This window comes from Homo sapiens, chromosome 3 (genome assembly GCF_000001405.40).
Source record: "Homo sapiens chromosome 3, GRCh38.p14 Primary Assembly".
Classification (NCBI taxonomy): domain Eukaryota; kingdom Metazoa; phylum Chordata; class Mammalia; order Primates; family Hominidae; genus Homo; species Homo sapiens.
In genome coordinates, this window is record NC_000003.12 from 133,440,742 (window position 1) to 133,456,918 (window position 16,177).

General features: G+C 43.9%; 1 protein-coding gene and 1 long non-coding RNA gene across 15 annotated transcripts in view, besides 1 other annotated feature; one reads left to right on the forward strand and one right to left on the reverse strand.

Moving 5' to 3' along the window:
• The window catches only part of BFSP2 (beaded filament structural protein 2), a 75,153-nt gene that overhangs the window by 40,686 nt on the left and 18,290 nt on the right, over positions 1-16,177 (forward strand). For both annotated transcript variants that reach the window (NM_003571.4, XM_017007315.2), the window contains exons 2-4: positions 6,576-6,658; positions 7,748-7,904; positions 9,562-9,723. In NM_003571.4, the coding sequence (NP_003562.1) occupies positions 6,576-6,658; positions 7,748-7,904; positions 9,562-9,723 (402 nt within the window). The remainder of the gene's footprint in view (positions 1-6,575; positions 6,659-7,747; positions 7,905-9,561; positions 9,724-16,177) is intronic.
• Positions 1-16,177, reverse strand: part of BFSP2-AS1 (BFSP2 antisense RNA 1) — a 64,708-nt gene that overhangs the window by 14,340 nt on the left and 34,191 nt on the right. For 4 of the 13 annotated variants that reach the window (NR_189056.1, NR_189064.1, NR_189062.1 and 1 more), the window contains exon 2: positions 14,588-14,722. The exons of 3 other annotated variants lie outside the window; for them this stretch is intronic. This is a non-coding gene — a long non-coding RNA (BFSP2 antisense RNA 1). Of the gene's footprint in view, positions 1-4,663; positions 4,835-8,039; positions 8,155-14,587; positions 14,723-15,003; positions 15,282-16,177 lie in introns of those variants that run through there. 6 more of the 13 variants (NR_189059.1, NR_189060.1, NR_135278.2 and 3 more) reach the window with 5 other exon arrangements.
• Positions 1,217-1,496: an enhancer, noted in NCBI's record as "active region_20542". NCBI's record gives its function as "activates an Ori minimal core promoter by ATAC-STARR-seq in GM12878 lymphoblastoid cells {active_cell/tissue: GM12878}" and the evidence as "EXISTENCE:reporter gene assay evidence [ECO:0000049][PMID:35858748]".

The window sequence follows — 16,177 nt, forward strand, 5'->3', positions numbered from 1 at the left end:
GCAAATAAACCCCGGCCAGCAGTTCTAGCTTCTCACTGCATGCTCATCTGGCCCCTCTACAATGACGTTCCTTCCCAGCCACAGCATAGTCTGATGAAGTCAGGGTTTATTTACAGTACAGGCTCAGAAGTGTATTGTGGCTTCCAGAGTGAAATCCAACCTTAGCCCTCAGATGTCTCTCATTCTCCTTGGACACCCAGTGGCTGTGACTGTGCTTGTGAGTGAACTGTCTCAAGAGATGGCTAGACTTCTCCATTACTTGAAGACATTTCCCCTAAATTCACTTTCAGATGCAATCTTTTTTTTTTTTTTTTTTTGAGGGAGTTTTGCTCTTGTTGCCCAGGCTAGAGTGCAATGGCGCCATCTCGGCTCACTGCAACCTCCGCCTCCCAGGTTCAAGCAATTCTCCTGCCTCAACCTCCTGAGTAGCTGGGATTACAGGCACACCCACGCCGGGCTAATTTTTGTATTTTTAGTAGAGACTGGGTTTTGCCATGTTGGCCAGGCTGGTCTCGAACTCCTGACCTCAGGTGATCCGTCTGCCTGGGCCTCCCAAAGTGCTAGGATTATACTTCGTAATCCCCTGAGCCACTGGTGTGAGCCCCTGCACTCGGCCTCAGATGCAATCTTAACTCACTGTGCTTGGGCTTCTTAGTTTTTGTCCCCAGGTAACAACTATCAGGTTAAACCAGAAAAGAGATGATTAGGACTTGAACCAAGCTGGATAATGGAGTGGGAATGGATTTGGGCACATCTACTTGGGGAATTGTTGGTTTTTGACTTGGGGGATGAGGAAGAGAGAGATGTTTAAGGTGATTCTCAGGTTGGAGCTAGGTAAGAACCTGGCTGTTCCCTGAGGGTAGGCACTGGGTCTTCCCTGCTTGGGTTCTCCATAAAGAGGTAGCACTACTGCTGGGCTCATTAATTCAACTAATACCTGCTGTACCAGACACTGTGCTAGGGATGGAACAACAAACAGGACAGAAAGGCAGTGCCTGACTTCCAGGAGGTTATATTCTAGCAGAAAATACAGATAAAATAATTTAAAAACCATAAAATTGATAATACAAGCTTTGGTAAGTGTTTTAAAGAAAACTAACAAAGCAGAAAGGGGCAGAGTAAAGGGAAGCACTGCTCGCAGTAAGGTGACCAGAATGAGGGAGCTATTCATGCAAAGGGGAAGGGAGGAGTGGGCCAGGCAGGGGAGTCGGCAAGTGCTAGGGCCTTGAGCAGGAGAGGGACTGGTATGGTCCAGAAAGACCAAGACCCACATGGCTGGAGCCTTTGGAGCAATGGAAGAGTAACAAGCATGCAGGGCCTTGAAGGCCACTTCAGAAGACTGGGTTTTACTCTAAGTATAAGAGACACTTCTATAGAGTTTTGTTTTGTTTTGTGTGTTGTTTTTGTTCTGAGATGGGCTTTCACTTTCACTCTGTCTCTCAGGCTGGAGTGCAGTGGTGCAATCATAGCTCACTGCAGCCTCGACCTCCTGGCCTCAAGAGATCCTCCCACATCAGTCTCCCAAGTAGCTGGACTGTGGGTGCACATCATGACACCTGGATAAATTCTGTTTTTTTGTTTTGTTTTGTTTTTTGGAGAGATAGGGTTTTGCTATGTTGCCCAGGCTGGTCTCAAACTTCTAGGCTCAAGCAATCCACCCACCCTGTCCTCCCAAAGTGCTGGGCTTATAGGCGTGAACCACCACACCTAGCCCCTCTGAAGAGTTTTAATTTAGTTTAATCAGAGTGACATGATATGATTTTAAGAGTTTAAAAAGCCCACTCTGGAAGCAGGATGCAGAATGCATTGGAGGAGGGAGGTACAGATCAGGGAGTTGGAAGGATATTACAATGGGATATTATAATGGGATAGGAGAGCATGATGGGGACTTGCACTAGGGTGATGTCAAGAGAGGTAGAGAGAAATAAATGGATTTGAGATACATTGTGGGGGTAGAATTGACTAGACTCAGTGATAAATGAGATGTGGGAGATGACAGAAAGTGAGAGATCAAGATGATCCCTTGGTTTCCGGGTAGACATTGGGGTTGTTTACTGAGATGAAGAGGATCAAGGGGTGGTGGGGAAAGGGAAGATTTGTGGGGAAATTATCTAGATTTTCTTTTTTTTTTTTTTAATGGATTTTCACTCTTGTTGCCCAGGCTGGAGTGCAGTGGTGCGATCTCAGCTCACTGCTACCTCTGCCTCCTGGGTTCAAGCCATGATCCTGCCTCAGCCTCCTAAATAGCTGGAATTACAGGTGCGTGCAACCACGCCCAGCTAATTTTTTGTATTTTTAGTAGAGGCAGGGGTTTCACTATGTTGGCCAGGCTGGTCTGGAACAACTGACCTCAGGTAATCCACCCACCTCAGCCTCCCAAAGTGCTGGGATTCCAGGCGTGAGCCACCGCACCCGGCCAAAATTATCTAGATTTTCATTCGGGGACATGTTAAGTTTGAGATGTCTGAGAAATAGCCAAGTGAAGACCTCAAAGAGAGGGTGAGTATGCAAGTGTGGAGCTGAGCAGAAAGTTCTGAGATAGACATTTAAATGTGAAAGTCATTAGCACATACAATGCCATTTAAATCTGTGTGGATAGATCAGACCATTTAGTGATTAAAAAAAAGAAGCACCAAGACCCAATCTTGAAAAACTTTAACATTTAGAGGTCAGATAAGGAAGAAAAACCTGGTGAAGCAGAGAATAATAAGAAAGAATGGTCAATGAAGTAGGAGGAAGTCCAGAGAGAGTGGTGTCATGGAAGCCGAGACAGAAAAGTACATCTGTGACAAATGCAACCAGCAGGTCAATATGAGCACAGAGAAGCATCTGCCGGGCTTGGTAATACGGTGGCCTTGTTATTAAGAGCAGTATCACTGGGGTGCTAGGGACTGAGAATTATTTCTCATTCCTTTATTGCTAGAAGCAAGTTATGCTGAACATCCATCCTAAACTTGAAAGTCAAATAAATGTGGGAAGGGTTTCCAAGGGAATCTTGCATCTTGCCACTGCACCAGCTGAGTTTAATTTCCCAGGAGCTCAGTCTTACCCACCTCCTCCCCACACCTGCAGCTCTAGCTGCCAGAATGCCAATATCTTTACTCCAAACAAACCATTCATTGTACCCTTGGGCCCAAATGATAACCTTTTTTAAAACGCTGCTTGTATTTGCCTTTCCTTTAACACAATGATGGTCAAATCTCTCATCCACCACCACCAGCTCATTTATTTTAATAACTACATCCGCAGTGAAAACAGGAGTAGTATTATAGAAAGAGATAAAGTCCTCACCATCATGGTACAAATGACTAGGACTTTTCAGATGACTATGGACAGGAAAAACAAAGGAAAAAAATATATATGTATATATATACATATATATATATCAAGCCACTAGATGGAAGTCTTCATTCAACTGCCTGTGCACTTCAGAAAAGTAAAGCAGGATCAGTGCCAGACTGCACAAACCCATCAAATTCATTCGACATTCATTGAACAACTGCTTTGTACAAAGACAAATAACAATGATGATAATGGCTACCGTTCATGCAATATTTACTCTGTGCCAGGCAATCTGCTGAGTCACACATACGCTGAGTCTCACACACCTTGGCTCATTTAATTCTCCCAGGAGGAAGGGAGTATTATTATCTTCATTTTATGGGGGAGGAAACCAAATCTTAGAATTACTTACTCTAAGCAACTGACCCATGCTTGTGAATGGAGGAGCCAGTTTCCAGAATAAGAAAACACTGTCGTTGTCTACAAAGTATTTATACTAAATGTGGTAAGAGAGGGATAATGTGCCACAGGGGTGGGCTGTGACTCAGATGCAGGAACCAGCCAATGAGGGAGGAAGAGAATCAGCAAAGGCCCCACCATGCTCTCTACAGCTCAGGATGAAACGGAGCGGTCACCCCTAATTGTTTTCCCTCACTCTCCCCATAACTACTGCACCACAAAGAACCGACTGTTCTATCCCCCAAATGCATCTTAAACTAGTCCACATTTTTCCACCTACCCTATGATCACATCGTTCGTCCAGGCCACCATCATTAATAAAATGGGCTCCCTGGACCACCGCAAGAGCCTCCCGACTGGTTCTTTGGCATCTTCTCCTGCCTCCTCCAATCCTCTCTTCCCACAGTAGTCAGAGGGTCCACTTAGTGCACAGATCACCTCTGTAACCTGCTCAAGCCCTTTCAAAGGCTTCCCAGTAAATCTCAACTCCTTTCCATTGTGCCCAAGGCCTTCCCTCTATGGTCTGGTCTTGTCTACCTTTTTAACCTCATCTCCTACAGTAGCGGCTGGTTTCTCAACAAACAGGACAGAGCCTGGCATAAACAGTAATTATGTGCTGAAGAAATTAAGGCAAGAATGAATGAGTGAATAAATAGAAAAGTTTCATGGGGAAGCCGTGTTTGAAATGAGCATTATACTGGAGCAGGCTTTCTCAGACTGAGGGCTGGGAGTGGGGAGGTAGTGAAACAAGTTGCTCTCAATGGAGGCAGCAGGTGCAAAGGCACAGAGGGATTCCAGGTGCAGCAGGGAGGCAGCTAGAGCAGGCCTGGGGGCAGGGCCATGTGAAACCGGGGTTCTCAAGGTTGAGTATGCATCATAAGCCCCTGGAAAGCTTGCTGAGACACAAATTGTTGGGACCCACCTGCAGAGATTCTGATAGGTCCATCTGAAACAGGAGCTGAAAAGTGCATTTCTCACAAGTTCCCAGGTGATGCTGCTGCCACTGGTCCAGGGCCCACACTTTGAGAACCACTAGTGCAAAGTACAGTCAGTCCTTCACATCCATGGGTTCCACATCCATGGATTCAACCAACTGTAGATCAAAATATTTTTTAAAAAATAGATGATTGCGTTTATACTGAACATGTGGGCTTTTTTCTTGTCATTATTTTCTAAATAACACAATAAATAACAACTATGTACATAGCATTTCCATTGTATTGGGTATCATAAGTAATCTTGAGATGATTTAAAGTATATGGAAGGATGTGTGTGTAGGTTATATGCAAATACTACATCATTTTATATAAGAGACTTGAGCATCCGTGGGGGACTGGAACCAAGACCCCATAGATACCAAAGGACAACTGTACATAGGTTTTCTATAAGCTTTAATTTTGGAGGGTAGGAATTGTTACCTTAAAAGAAGGATATAAATCACTATTTTAAGCCAATATTAGTCCTTTGATACTTAAATGTGAATGAGTTGCAAGTTCTTTATCAACCAGAAGGAGAACTCCAGGCACCAGAGGTGAGAGACAGGAGTGATTAAGAACTGGGAAAGGGAGACACCCTAGTCTGCCTGCTCCCCAGTGTGCCCCAGGCCAAGCTGGAACAGAAATGATTAGCTTTGCTAGTGGGGAATTCAATGAAAATGGCAGGGTTTGGTGGCTTACACCTGTAACCCCAGGACTCTGGGAGGCCAAGATGGGTGGATAATTTGAGGTCAGGAGTTCGAGACCAGCCTGGCCAACATGGTGAAACCCCATCTCTATTAAAAATACAAAAATTAGCTGGGCGCAGTGGCACATGCCTGTAATCCCAGCTACTCAGGAGGCTGAGGCACGAGAATATCTTGAATCTGGGAGGCAGAGGTTGCAGTGAGCAGATATTGTGCCACTGCACTCCAGCCTGGGCAACAAAGCAAGACTCTGTCTCAAAGAAAAAACAAAAAAAGTAATTCAATGAAATGAAACAAAATAAGACAGCCACACTGGAGCAAGGGGAAAGCAGTTATTTTCTTCTCCCATAGCTGGGATTTGGCTCCACCCTGCAGGCTCCCCCTATCAGAGCCTTCAGCTCACCATTTATATATATATATATATATATATATATATATATATATATATATATATATATATATATATATATATATATAAAGGAGTTTCTTGGGTTGAAGGGAGGACACCCCTCATTCCCTACCTGTGGGAGATCCTGAGAGGCTTGGGGATTCAAGTTTGAAAAACCACTCCTCAAGGCTCCATGAAACCCCTAAACTATATCCACAATGTTTATGTTCACGTGTATGTTTTGGGGGAGACGAAACTCTAGAGCCACGCTGCCCAATACGGTAGCCACGGGTGGCCACCATGCTGGACAGTGCAGACAGAGCATTTCCACCGTCACAGGAAGCTCTCTCAGCACTCATCTAGAGCTTTCACCAGCCTTCCAAAGGCATCCATGACCAGAAATTTTAAGAGCTGCTAGGCAAAGCCAGTGAAACTTCATCTAAGGAGCCGGACTCTGCCCTGGAGAGATGAAAGCTTGTCACTGTGACAGAGGCTATGAACAAGTCTGCCTTTGAATAGTCTTTTTGTGCCAAAAATCCCACTCTAAAAACTCTTAGAAGATATCCAGATTTTATGCCTTATTATTTATATCCCCCCACCCTGACCATTGTCCAAAGAGAGGGACATCTTAATTCCACAAATATTTGCTGTAAGAAAGGTTCTCTGAGGTCCCCCAGAGCCTCTGTGCCTAACACAAGTCATGGTGGTAAGTGATCTTGACGCTCCCAGTGACCTTGTCTCCTTTGGTGTGTGTGATCGCTCTAGGTGGGTGAGGCAGTCTTGGAAAATGCCCGGCTCATGCTGCAGACAGAAACTATCCAGGCCGGAGCAGATGACTTTAAAGAGAGGTAATGTCTTACAGCAGAGGCGACAGTCCCTCCACATCCCTAGACTCCTAGGCAAGTGTGGATAATGCTGTTCTGGAGCCTGCATCATCCACCTTCTACCTCAGGGGAAGCTGGCAGGATAACAGAGCCATGATTATCCAGCTCACACCCCTCCTTGTAAACATAAAGTAGGCCCCAAGGGCTCAAAGATTTTGCCCACTGTCAGTTGGTTTAGAGCAGGGTTCTCAAACTCTGGAATGCTCAGAATCACCCAGGGGCCATATAGAAAACAGAGATTGCTGCGCCCCACCCTGTTGAATTTCTGACTCAATGGGTCTGGAGAAGGGCCCCAAATTTATATTCCTAACAAGTTCCCAGGGATGCTGATCCTGCTGGTCCTGGGACTCAAATACTTTGAGAACTACTAGCTTACAGTAATGATTCTCCAACCTGGGCATATCAGAATTACCTGGGCACTTAAAAATGTCAGTGCAGTGCACAAGCCATAGACTAATTAAATCAGAGTCCCCAGGGGTTGGGTCCAGGCTTCAGCAGTTTTAGAGCTCACCAGGTGACTTAATGTGCATCCAGGCTTGAGAACCGTGCTCAGCTACACCTCCCACTCAGTCCCTGAAGGCATCTGGGTTTGCAGCCACTCTCCTGGAGATGGACACTTTTAACATGGGTGCTTTGGAGACAGAAACCACATTTCTTATTTTGGGGTCCCCACCCTGGTGCTTAGCAGGTTGTCAGTAATGTTTGTTAAAGGATCCTTGGTTGAAAAGGAGGACAATCAGGATAGCGATGAAGATGCCGGATCCCCTAACCTGGATCTGAACTCCTGAGTTTTCCCTGGAGTTCTGTGTTGCAACACTCCCATGAGGCTGGTAGCCCGGGAAGCCAGGTTATCAGAAGTTGGCTGCAATTGCCTTCATTTTAATAAATCAATGTGTGACAACTGCACTAACAGTGCCCTCAAATCTATTGAAACAGTGACTTTTACCATTCATTGTCTAACTATCACATAATTGGCCTGTTGGTAACATTTATAATCTGATTCTTTTTCTTTTGGGCTACTCAGTTATGCTAATTAAGTTCCTTTATCTGCAGATATGAAAATGAGCAGCCATTTCGAAAGGCGGCAGAAGAGGAAATTAACTCTCTGTATAAAGTCATTGATGAGGCTAATTTGACTAAAATGGACCTGGAGAGTCAAATAGAAAGTCTGAAAGAAGAACTTGGCTCTCTATCAAGAAACTATGAAGAGGTAGGAGGGGGCTGGGGTTGCTGGGTTGGCCACAAGACCAGAAGTTCACATCTGTCTGCCTGTGCTTCATAACAAGGCCACAGTAGCTCATTTCTGACTCTCCACATTGCGTGCCCAGGACTGCAGGGAACATACCTGTAAAATACTTTCAGATCCTTGAAGTGGGTCAGGTTACCCCAGCAGTCTCAAACTCAAATAGCTTCAGGAACCAGTGTGGTACAGAAACAGGGGAAGGCAGCCAGTCTTGGCACTAGCAAATGAGGGAACTTGTGTTAAATTAGAGGGAGCAACCCCTCCTCAATGCATTCTATGTCAGGTTTTTTTTTCAACACTGTATTATACAAACAAAACAACTCTGAGGGTAGATCCAAGCTGTGGTTGACATCTACTCATTAACAAAACTGGGTCAGATTATTGAGTGACAGAACTGAAGAGGACCTCCAACAGTTATGGGGTCTAGTTCCCTGCGAGACTTCAGCAATTCTAAACCACCTCACACATATTACTGTCTGATCCAAGATTTAGGCTGCTTCAAGTTGAAAGAGTCAAAACCCACTTAACGATGCTCACATTGGGAAGTTCTTTCTTGAGACCAACTTAAGCTAACCAGCAACTGTAAGCCCATTTCTTCTTGTTCTTAGCTCAGTGATTTAAGACTACTCTCCAACAGTAACCATTTAGAGATGCCAAAGTTATCTTTTAAGTCTCTTTCATCCTTGTCTGGCTTTATGCATAAATGCCCTGTGCTGTTGTTGCTTACTTTGTTTTTGTTTTTGTTTTTGTTTTATTTTACTTTAAGTTTTAGGGTACATGTGCACAATGTGCAGGTTAGTTACATATGTATACATGTGGTTTTTTGTTTGTTTGTTTGTTTGTTTGTTTGTTTGTTTTATTTTGATTTCTGCTTTGGGCCTGGGCTTGTGGAGACCAACCTAAGAAATGCATCCTTGGTGCTAGGCATGGTGGTTCAAGCCTGTAATCCCAGCACTTTGAGAGGCCAAGGCAGGGGATCACTTGAGCCCAGGAGTTCAAGACCAGCCTGGGCAACATGGTGAAACCCTGTCTCCACTAAAAATACAAAAATTAGCTGGGCATGGTGGTGTGTGCCGTGCCTGTGCCTGTAGTCTCAGCTACTCAGGAGACTGAGGTGGGAGGACTGTTTGAGCCCAAGAGATGGAGGCTGCAATGAGCTGAGATCATGTCACTGCACTCCAGCCTGGGTGACAGAGTGAGACCCTGTCAAAAAAAAGAAGGAAGGAAGGAAGGAGAGAGAGAGAGGAAGACAGACGGAAAGAAAGAGAGAAAGAGAGAGAGAAAGAGAAAGAAGGAAAGAAGGAAAGGAAGGAAGGAAGGAAGGAAGGAAGGAAGGAAGGAGGGAGGGAGGGGGAGGGAAGGAGGGAGGAAGAAAGAAAGAGAGAGAAGGAAAGGAAGGAAGGAAGGAAGGGAGGGAGAGAGGGAGAAATGCATCCTTGGGAAAAGAGAAATTACACTTACGCTGGGAAGAAGGTCAGGGACTTTCCCAGTCTCTGTGAAGCCTGTGTCTGGCAGTTGTGGAATGAGAAAAGAATTGCCCACAGAGCTGGTTTTCTGCTGGCTAGAATTCTATGCCATTTATTTCCCCCCGTAACTCATCTAAGATGTATATTGTTGTTTTCAGGATGTGAAGCTGCTGCACAAACAGTTGGCAGGGTGTGAGCTGGAACAAATGGATGCTCCCATTGGCACTGGTCTGGACGACATCCTTGAGACGATCAGAATTCAGTGGGAGAGAGATGTTGAAAAGAACCGGGTGGAGGCAGGAGCCCTGCTCCAAGCTAAGGTGAGAGGCAGGACCAGCATCCTCCACTCTGCCCTATGCAGAAGGAGGCCACGCTGAGCTGCAAACTAGTCAATGTGCAGACGAAGAAATAACAACGGTTTAGTAACAAGTTCAACCTCATTAGAAACAGAAGAAATGAAAATTAAAATAATAGCTTTTTGTTTACCTATCTAAAAGTAGAAAATGTTTAAAATGGTAAAAATGCTGGCAAGTATGTGGAGAAGTAGGTTCTCTACTGTATTACTGAAGAGCATAAACTAGTGCACTGCCTTTGAATAAGAAATTTAGTAATATGCACCAAGAGTGTTAAAATGCCCCTAGCTACCAACTGAATAATCTGAATACAATCCTGAAAGAATAATTGAGGCCGGGCGTGGTAGCTCACGCCTGTAATCCCAGCACTTTGGGAGGCCAAGGCGGGCGGATCATGAGGTCAGGAGATCGATACCATCCTGGCTAACAGGGTGAAACACTGTCTCTACTAAAAATACAAAAAATTAGCCGGACGCATTGGCAGGTGCCTGTAGTCCCCGCTACTCGGGAGGCTGAGGCAGGAGAATGGTGTGAACCTGGGAGGCGGAGCTTGTAGTGAGCCAAGATTGGGCCACTGCACTCCAGCCTGGGCAACAGAGCAAGACTCTGTCTCAAAAAAAAAAAAAAAAAAAGAATATTTGAAAAAATAAATCATCTGTGTCCAAATATACTCACTGAAGCATTATAAGAGTGAAAAAAACATACACATTTACTAGTAGAAGAAAATCTAAGCCACAACCTACCTATGTGCAGTAAAATATCAGGCAGTTATTAGAATTAATGTTTATGAAGCATTTATAAAATAGGAATGTGTTCATAATATGAGGTAAAATGAGGAGAAAATGAGAGTACAGAATGGTATATGCCAGAAGCCAAAAAATATTCTCTGTAAAGGACCAAACAGTAAATATTTCAGGCTTCTTGGGCCAGATGGCCTCTGTTGTAACTCCTCAGCGCTGCCACTGCAGTGTAAAAGCAGCTGTAGCCAATAGGTAGCTAATGAGCATAGCTGTGTTCCAATAAAACTTTATTTACAAAAATAAGCGGTGAGATGGATTTGGCCTGTGGACTGCAGTTTGCCACTTCCTGGTATATACAGTAGGGTAAAGCATTCAAACAAAGAAACTAGGCATTGAGAAAAAATTTTAGAAAGAAAAGACTAAAATGGGATTAGCAGTCGTTGCCTTTGAGTGATGGATCAGTCTGACACTTTGAGATGTTTTTTCTTTTTTGTTTTTGAGTATTTCTCAAGTTTTTGTTAAATAGTATACATTATATTCATGGAAGAAAAACAACTTTTATTAAACCTCATAAATAATACAGGAATTAACCAGAAAATAGGATGCATAGGGTTTGTTCTTCCCTTCTCCATCTCCCACCCATTTCTGACTTTGTAATCTTGAGACAGAGGATGAAAAGTGACAAGGAAGGAAAATGTGGAAAAGTAGAGAAAATAAGGTAGATGTCTGAGTTAAGGCAAAAGGCTGTTTCTGAGCTCTTGATTACTATTTAGTGGTTCTTGATCCTGGCTACGCAGCAGAATTATTTCAGAGCATTTTCAAAAATCGCCATCCCAGACCAACCAAATCAGACAGAGGAGAGGGACTTTGTGATTTTTAAAGCTCTCTGGATGATTCTAATATGCAGCCAGATTTGAGAACCATAAGAATTATAAAAAGCTATGAAAAGAAAAATAGGAGAGGCTTTTCTGTCCTTTCTCCCACCATACTCCCTCTATCCCCCAAGTATCAACAAGAACCTTCCCAGCAGGGTCTTCATCAATTCTGGATTCCCAAAATGTTCTCCAGCCTAGAAAACATCCTTTCACTCACCCATTTCTCCAACCCCTACCCCGTTTCAATAGCTTCCTTTCTTTCTAACCACCAATCATTGAGCCAGGTCACTACAAACACTTTTTTATGGCAAATAGAGCCTAGTTATTCAAAAAATGACTTCCCCTCGCCCCACCCAACCTGATGAGAAGTGGAGCAACACAGAGGTAAAGTGAAGCCATAGATTTGAGTTTGGTCCATTGCCTTTTTTAACAGACTCATGACAGATAACAGATAATTAATGGTCCTAGAGACCATCTGATCCCATTCCCTAATTTTAGGTGTGAGGAAACTGAGACCCAGAGAGTGCAGGTGACTTCCCACGATCACACAGCTGGTTGAGAGCTCCATAGTTCAACTCTCCTGTTCTTGGTCCAGAGACCTTTTCTCTGCATTGGGCTGCATCGTTTCTCCCCTGGCTCTGCTTCTAAAGCTAAACCTCAGAGGCCCAGCAGTTTGCAAACTTTGCTTCTGTCCCAGCCCTCCTGCGGTGTGCACCACACTGTGGTAACTGTTTCTTTGGGAAAGGACAGACTATTATAATTATCAGAAATAAATCCTTCATAGTATGAAAAAGAAAAAAAAAAGGTCATTATTATCTCCTCCTCACCCCTTGGAGAATCATCACTAGCCCAACAGTAACTCAAACATTAATTCTGAACAGATTCATTAGTGTTTTTTTAATAGAGTAATCTGAAAGCTACATCTCAGAGAAAACAGACAGTATTTGTTTTAGCTTGGCCAATGCTGCCTGGGCCTCTTGCAGAAAGGCAGAGCTCAGAAAATATTTGCAGAATGAGTGAATTCCTCTGATCATCAACAGAGATCTGAACTGACAGCCAGAATTCCTCCAATAAATAGTTTTGTCAGTTGCAGTTGTGCCCTCAGGGGCTGACATTTGCCCATCCTGAGCATCTCTTGTCGGTTTCTTGGCGGCATAGCATAAATGTGAAATGGCTTAGCACACACAGCTTTCAAAAGCTTTTGTAAAGAAAATGCAAGCATGCATTTAATTACCTTTCGGACCACAGAGGCTGAAAATTAATTAACATGATTAATTTATATCTTAGTTTAGGTTCCTTCAGAAGCAGATCCTGAAACAAATATTGGAGTTAAGGTAGTTTACCTGGAAGTTGGGGAGTTAAAAACCAACAAAATACCAGTAGAGGAGAAGCAAAGAAGGGAACCAACAAAGAATGCCTAATCAAACCAGTTACCACTGTGGGAGACTGACGTGTAAACCAAGAAGAATTGTGAGAAACGGTATAGACTACAGGAGAGGGGAAAGGCAAGGGAGCTGAGATGTTAATACCATCTCCCAACAGTTTTCTGCCATCTGCTATCAGAGTGGCCTTCCAAAGGCTTCAGAGAAACTCTCAGGCAAAAAGATGCAGAATCTGGCAGGGGGAACAGGAGAGCACTAAACTGCGAAAGCCTAAGGGATAAAGGTGGTACCATCAGCATCTGCTAGAACTTATCTGCCAATTCTGTTTATTTTTTCAGTCATTAAAAGCTTAATAAAATAGAGACATAAAAAAATTTATTAAGAGGTTCTGGCTAAGGTCAGTGCAGTATTCATATTCTTTCCAGCTATGGTGTTACGAATGTCAGGAACCTCATGGTCCAGTTTTTGAAGCTTCTGAAGTTGTATGATTCAGTGATGACAGGATCAGATTGGTCCAGAGAATTTCTGGAGGGTCTTAAAGTCTAGTTCTTCCTTGTCTATTTGTTGTGGTTACCTAATGCAGGGTACTCAGGGATGCTTCAGGAACCTCAGACAACATGCCACACCACACTCTAGACCTCCTAGTTAGTCAAGTAAAACAAAACAACTTTTTTTTTAAGTTGGGCACTGTGGCATGTGCCTGTAGTCCTAGCTATTCAGGAGGCTGAGGCAGGAGGATTGCTTGAGGCCAAGAGTTCAAAGGAGAAGTACACTATGATCATGCCTATGGATAGCCACTCTACTCCAGCCTGGGCAACATGGTGAGACCCCATCTCTTTTTTAAAAAATCCTTTTTGTCCCCTATGCTCTTACAAAATGCTTCTGACACCAAATATGTAGGTTTGTTCCACACCAAGCAGATCTCCAAACACCAACTGAGTGTCCTATAATTCAATTCAATCCTGACACTACCTGCCTGAAGTAGTATCAGATCCCACAGGTTAAGGGCTCAGTCCCATAAGACAGCCCTCACTTCAGATGACAAGTCTGGCCCTCCCATACTTCGGATGAACTGGCTATAAATTAGGGGTTCCCACAACCTCCTCTGCAGAGGGATAAGTAGATAGTTTGCTAGAACAGTGCCCAGAACTCAAGGAAACACTTTACATATTTTTGCCAGCTTATTATAAAGGATACAATTCAGGAGCAGCCAAATGGAGGAGATGCTTAAGGCAACGTATGTGAGAAGGGGCACAGAGTCCCCAACTCCAAATTTTTGACTCTATTATAATAACACTTGGCTTAAAATGCAAACACGTCATACAGCTATACAAAAATATTCTTTCTTTTATCCTTATTCTATAAGCTTGTTTTCTATTTTTAAGAGGGGGTTTTTTTAACCTTTTAAACTTTTTTTGTTAAAAACTAAGACACATACATACACATTAGCCTAGGCCTACACAGGGTCAGGATCGTCAATATCACTGTCTTCCACCTCCACATCTTGTCCCACTGAAAGGTCTTCAGGGGCAGTGACATGTGTGGAGCTTTCAGCTCCTGTAACAACAATGCCTTCTTCTGGAATTCCTCCTGAAGGACCTGCCTGAGGCTGTTTTACCGTTAACTATTTTTCTTTTTTAATAAGTAGGAGTATGCTAATGATAAAAAGTATAGATACAGTAAATACATAAACCAGTAACATTTACTATTGTTAGCAAGTGTTATGCACTGCACATAATTGTATGTGCTAGACTTTTATATGACTGGCAGTGCAATAGGTTTGTTTACACTGCATCATCACAGGGTCTCACAAAGCTGCAATCAAGGTACCCACCAGGGCCGCATTCTCATCTTCAGAGTTTGTTCGGGTTCTTGGCATCGTTCAATTCCTTGCAGATGTAGGCTTGAGGTCCTCAACTCCTAGAGGCCAGTCCTCCTCAGAGGCCATTTACAACATGGCTGTTTGCTCCTTCAGGGCCAACAGAAAAGCATTACCATTTTAAGCCTTTAATCTGATTAAGTCAGGCCCACTCAGATACTCCTCTTTTGATCAGCTCAGATTTAGCTGATTTGGAACCATAATTACATGTCAAAATCTCTTCATCCTTGTCATCTAACATAATTTAATCATTGGACATAACACCAGAGAGCAGAGATCATGGAGGCCATCTTAGAATTCTGCCTACCAGGCCCCTCAGTGTTGAGCAGAGAACTAAAACTCTGCCCCTCCCCAAACCCCCACCATCTCACCTCCTCTGCCAGGCAAACAGCTCTGCCCTCAGCCCACCTCCTGTAGGGGAGCACGGGTCCCGTCTTTCTTGTCCAATTTCTCAGCCGGGGCACTGAGACGTCTTTGTTCCCTCACCCTAAGCCTGGTCTGAAGTCTGCCTCCTGCAATGCAAGCTCTGTTTTGCCTTCTTAGCCTTCTTCCTGAGATGCTCCTTCCATTCAATTTCCATTTGCCCAAAGCTGACTCCACACTTTCATTCCCAGAGGCCTCATTTCTCCATCCCTTGCCTGCTGCAACTGGTTGATGTATACAATACCCAAAGGCTTAATCAATCACCAGCACAAGTTGGTGGTTGCCCGGATGTGAGAGAACTCAGTCTGTCTTAAGAGTCCCCAGGGTCAGGAACAAATGGATTGCTCCCATGCTATCTTCTCTAACAGCAGGTCTGCACTTGCCTCAGGTCAGTTTGAGGCATCTGCGGTCAGGAACTTTATCTGAGCTGTAACCATCATGCCTTCATGTCACATGTCAGGATGACAGATTGTGCAAACTATTAAGAATGAAGACAAGTGAATAGATTGAAATGAATTGTGAGGTTTCTGGTTGTTGATAGTCTTAAGGCCAAAAGAAACATTCAAGATCATCTAAAGCCGGGCCATCTAACTGAAATATCGCAATGATGGGCATATTCTATAATCCATGCAGCAATCCGGTATGGTAGCTACTGGCCTCAAGGGGTTATACAGGTGCAGTGGCTCATGCCTATAGTCCCAGCACTTTGGGAGGTCAAGGTGGGCAGATCGCTTGAGCCCAGGAGTTCAAGACCAGCCTAAACAACATGGCAAAACCCTGTCTCCACAAAAATACAAAAATTAGCCAGGTGTGGTGACATGTGCCTGCAGTCCCATGGAAACTACTTGGGAAGCTGACATGGGAGGATCACCTGAGCCTAGGAGGTCGAGGTTGCAGTGAGCTCTGATCGCACCACTGCACTCCAGCCTGGACAACAGAGTGAGACTCTGTCTCAAAAATAAATAAATAAATAAAGCTGAGGAACTAACTTTTAATTATGTTTAATTTTTATTTCAGCAGCTACAGATGACTAGTGACTGCTCTATTAGAGGACAGCATAGGTCTAGATTTACCCACGAGGAGAATAGAAACCTTGAATAGCATCTCTCCATGTCATCTACA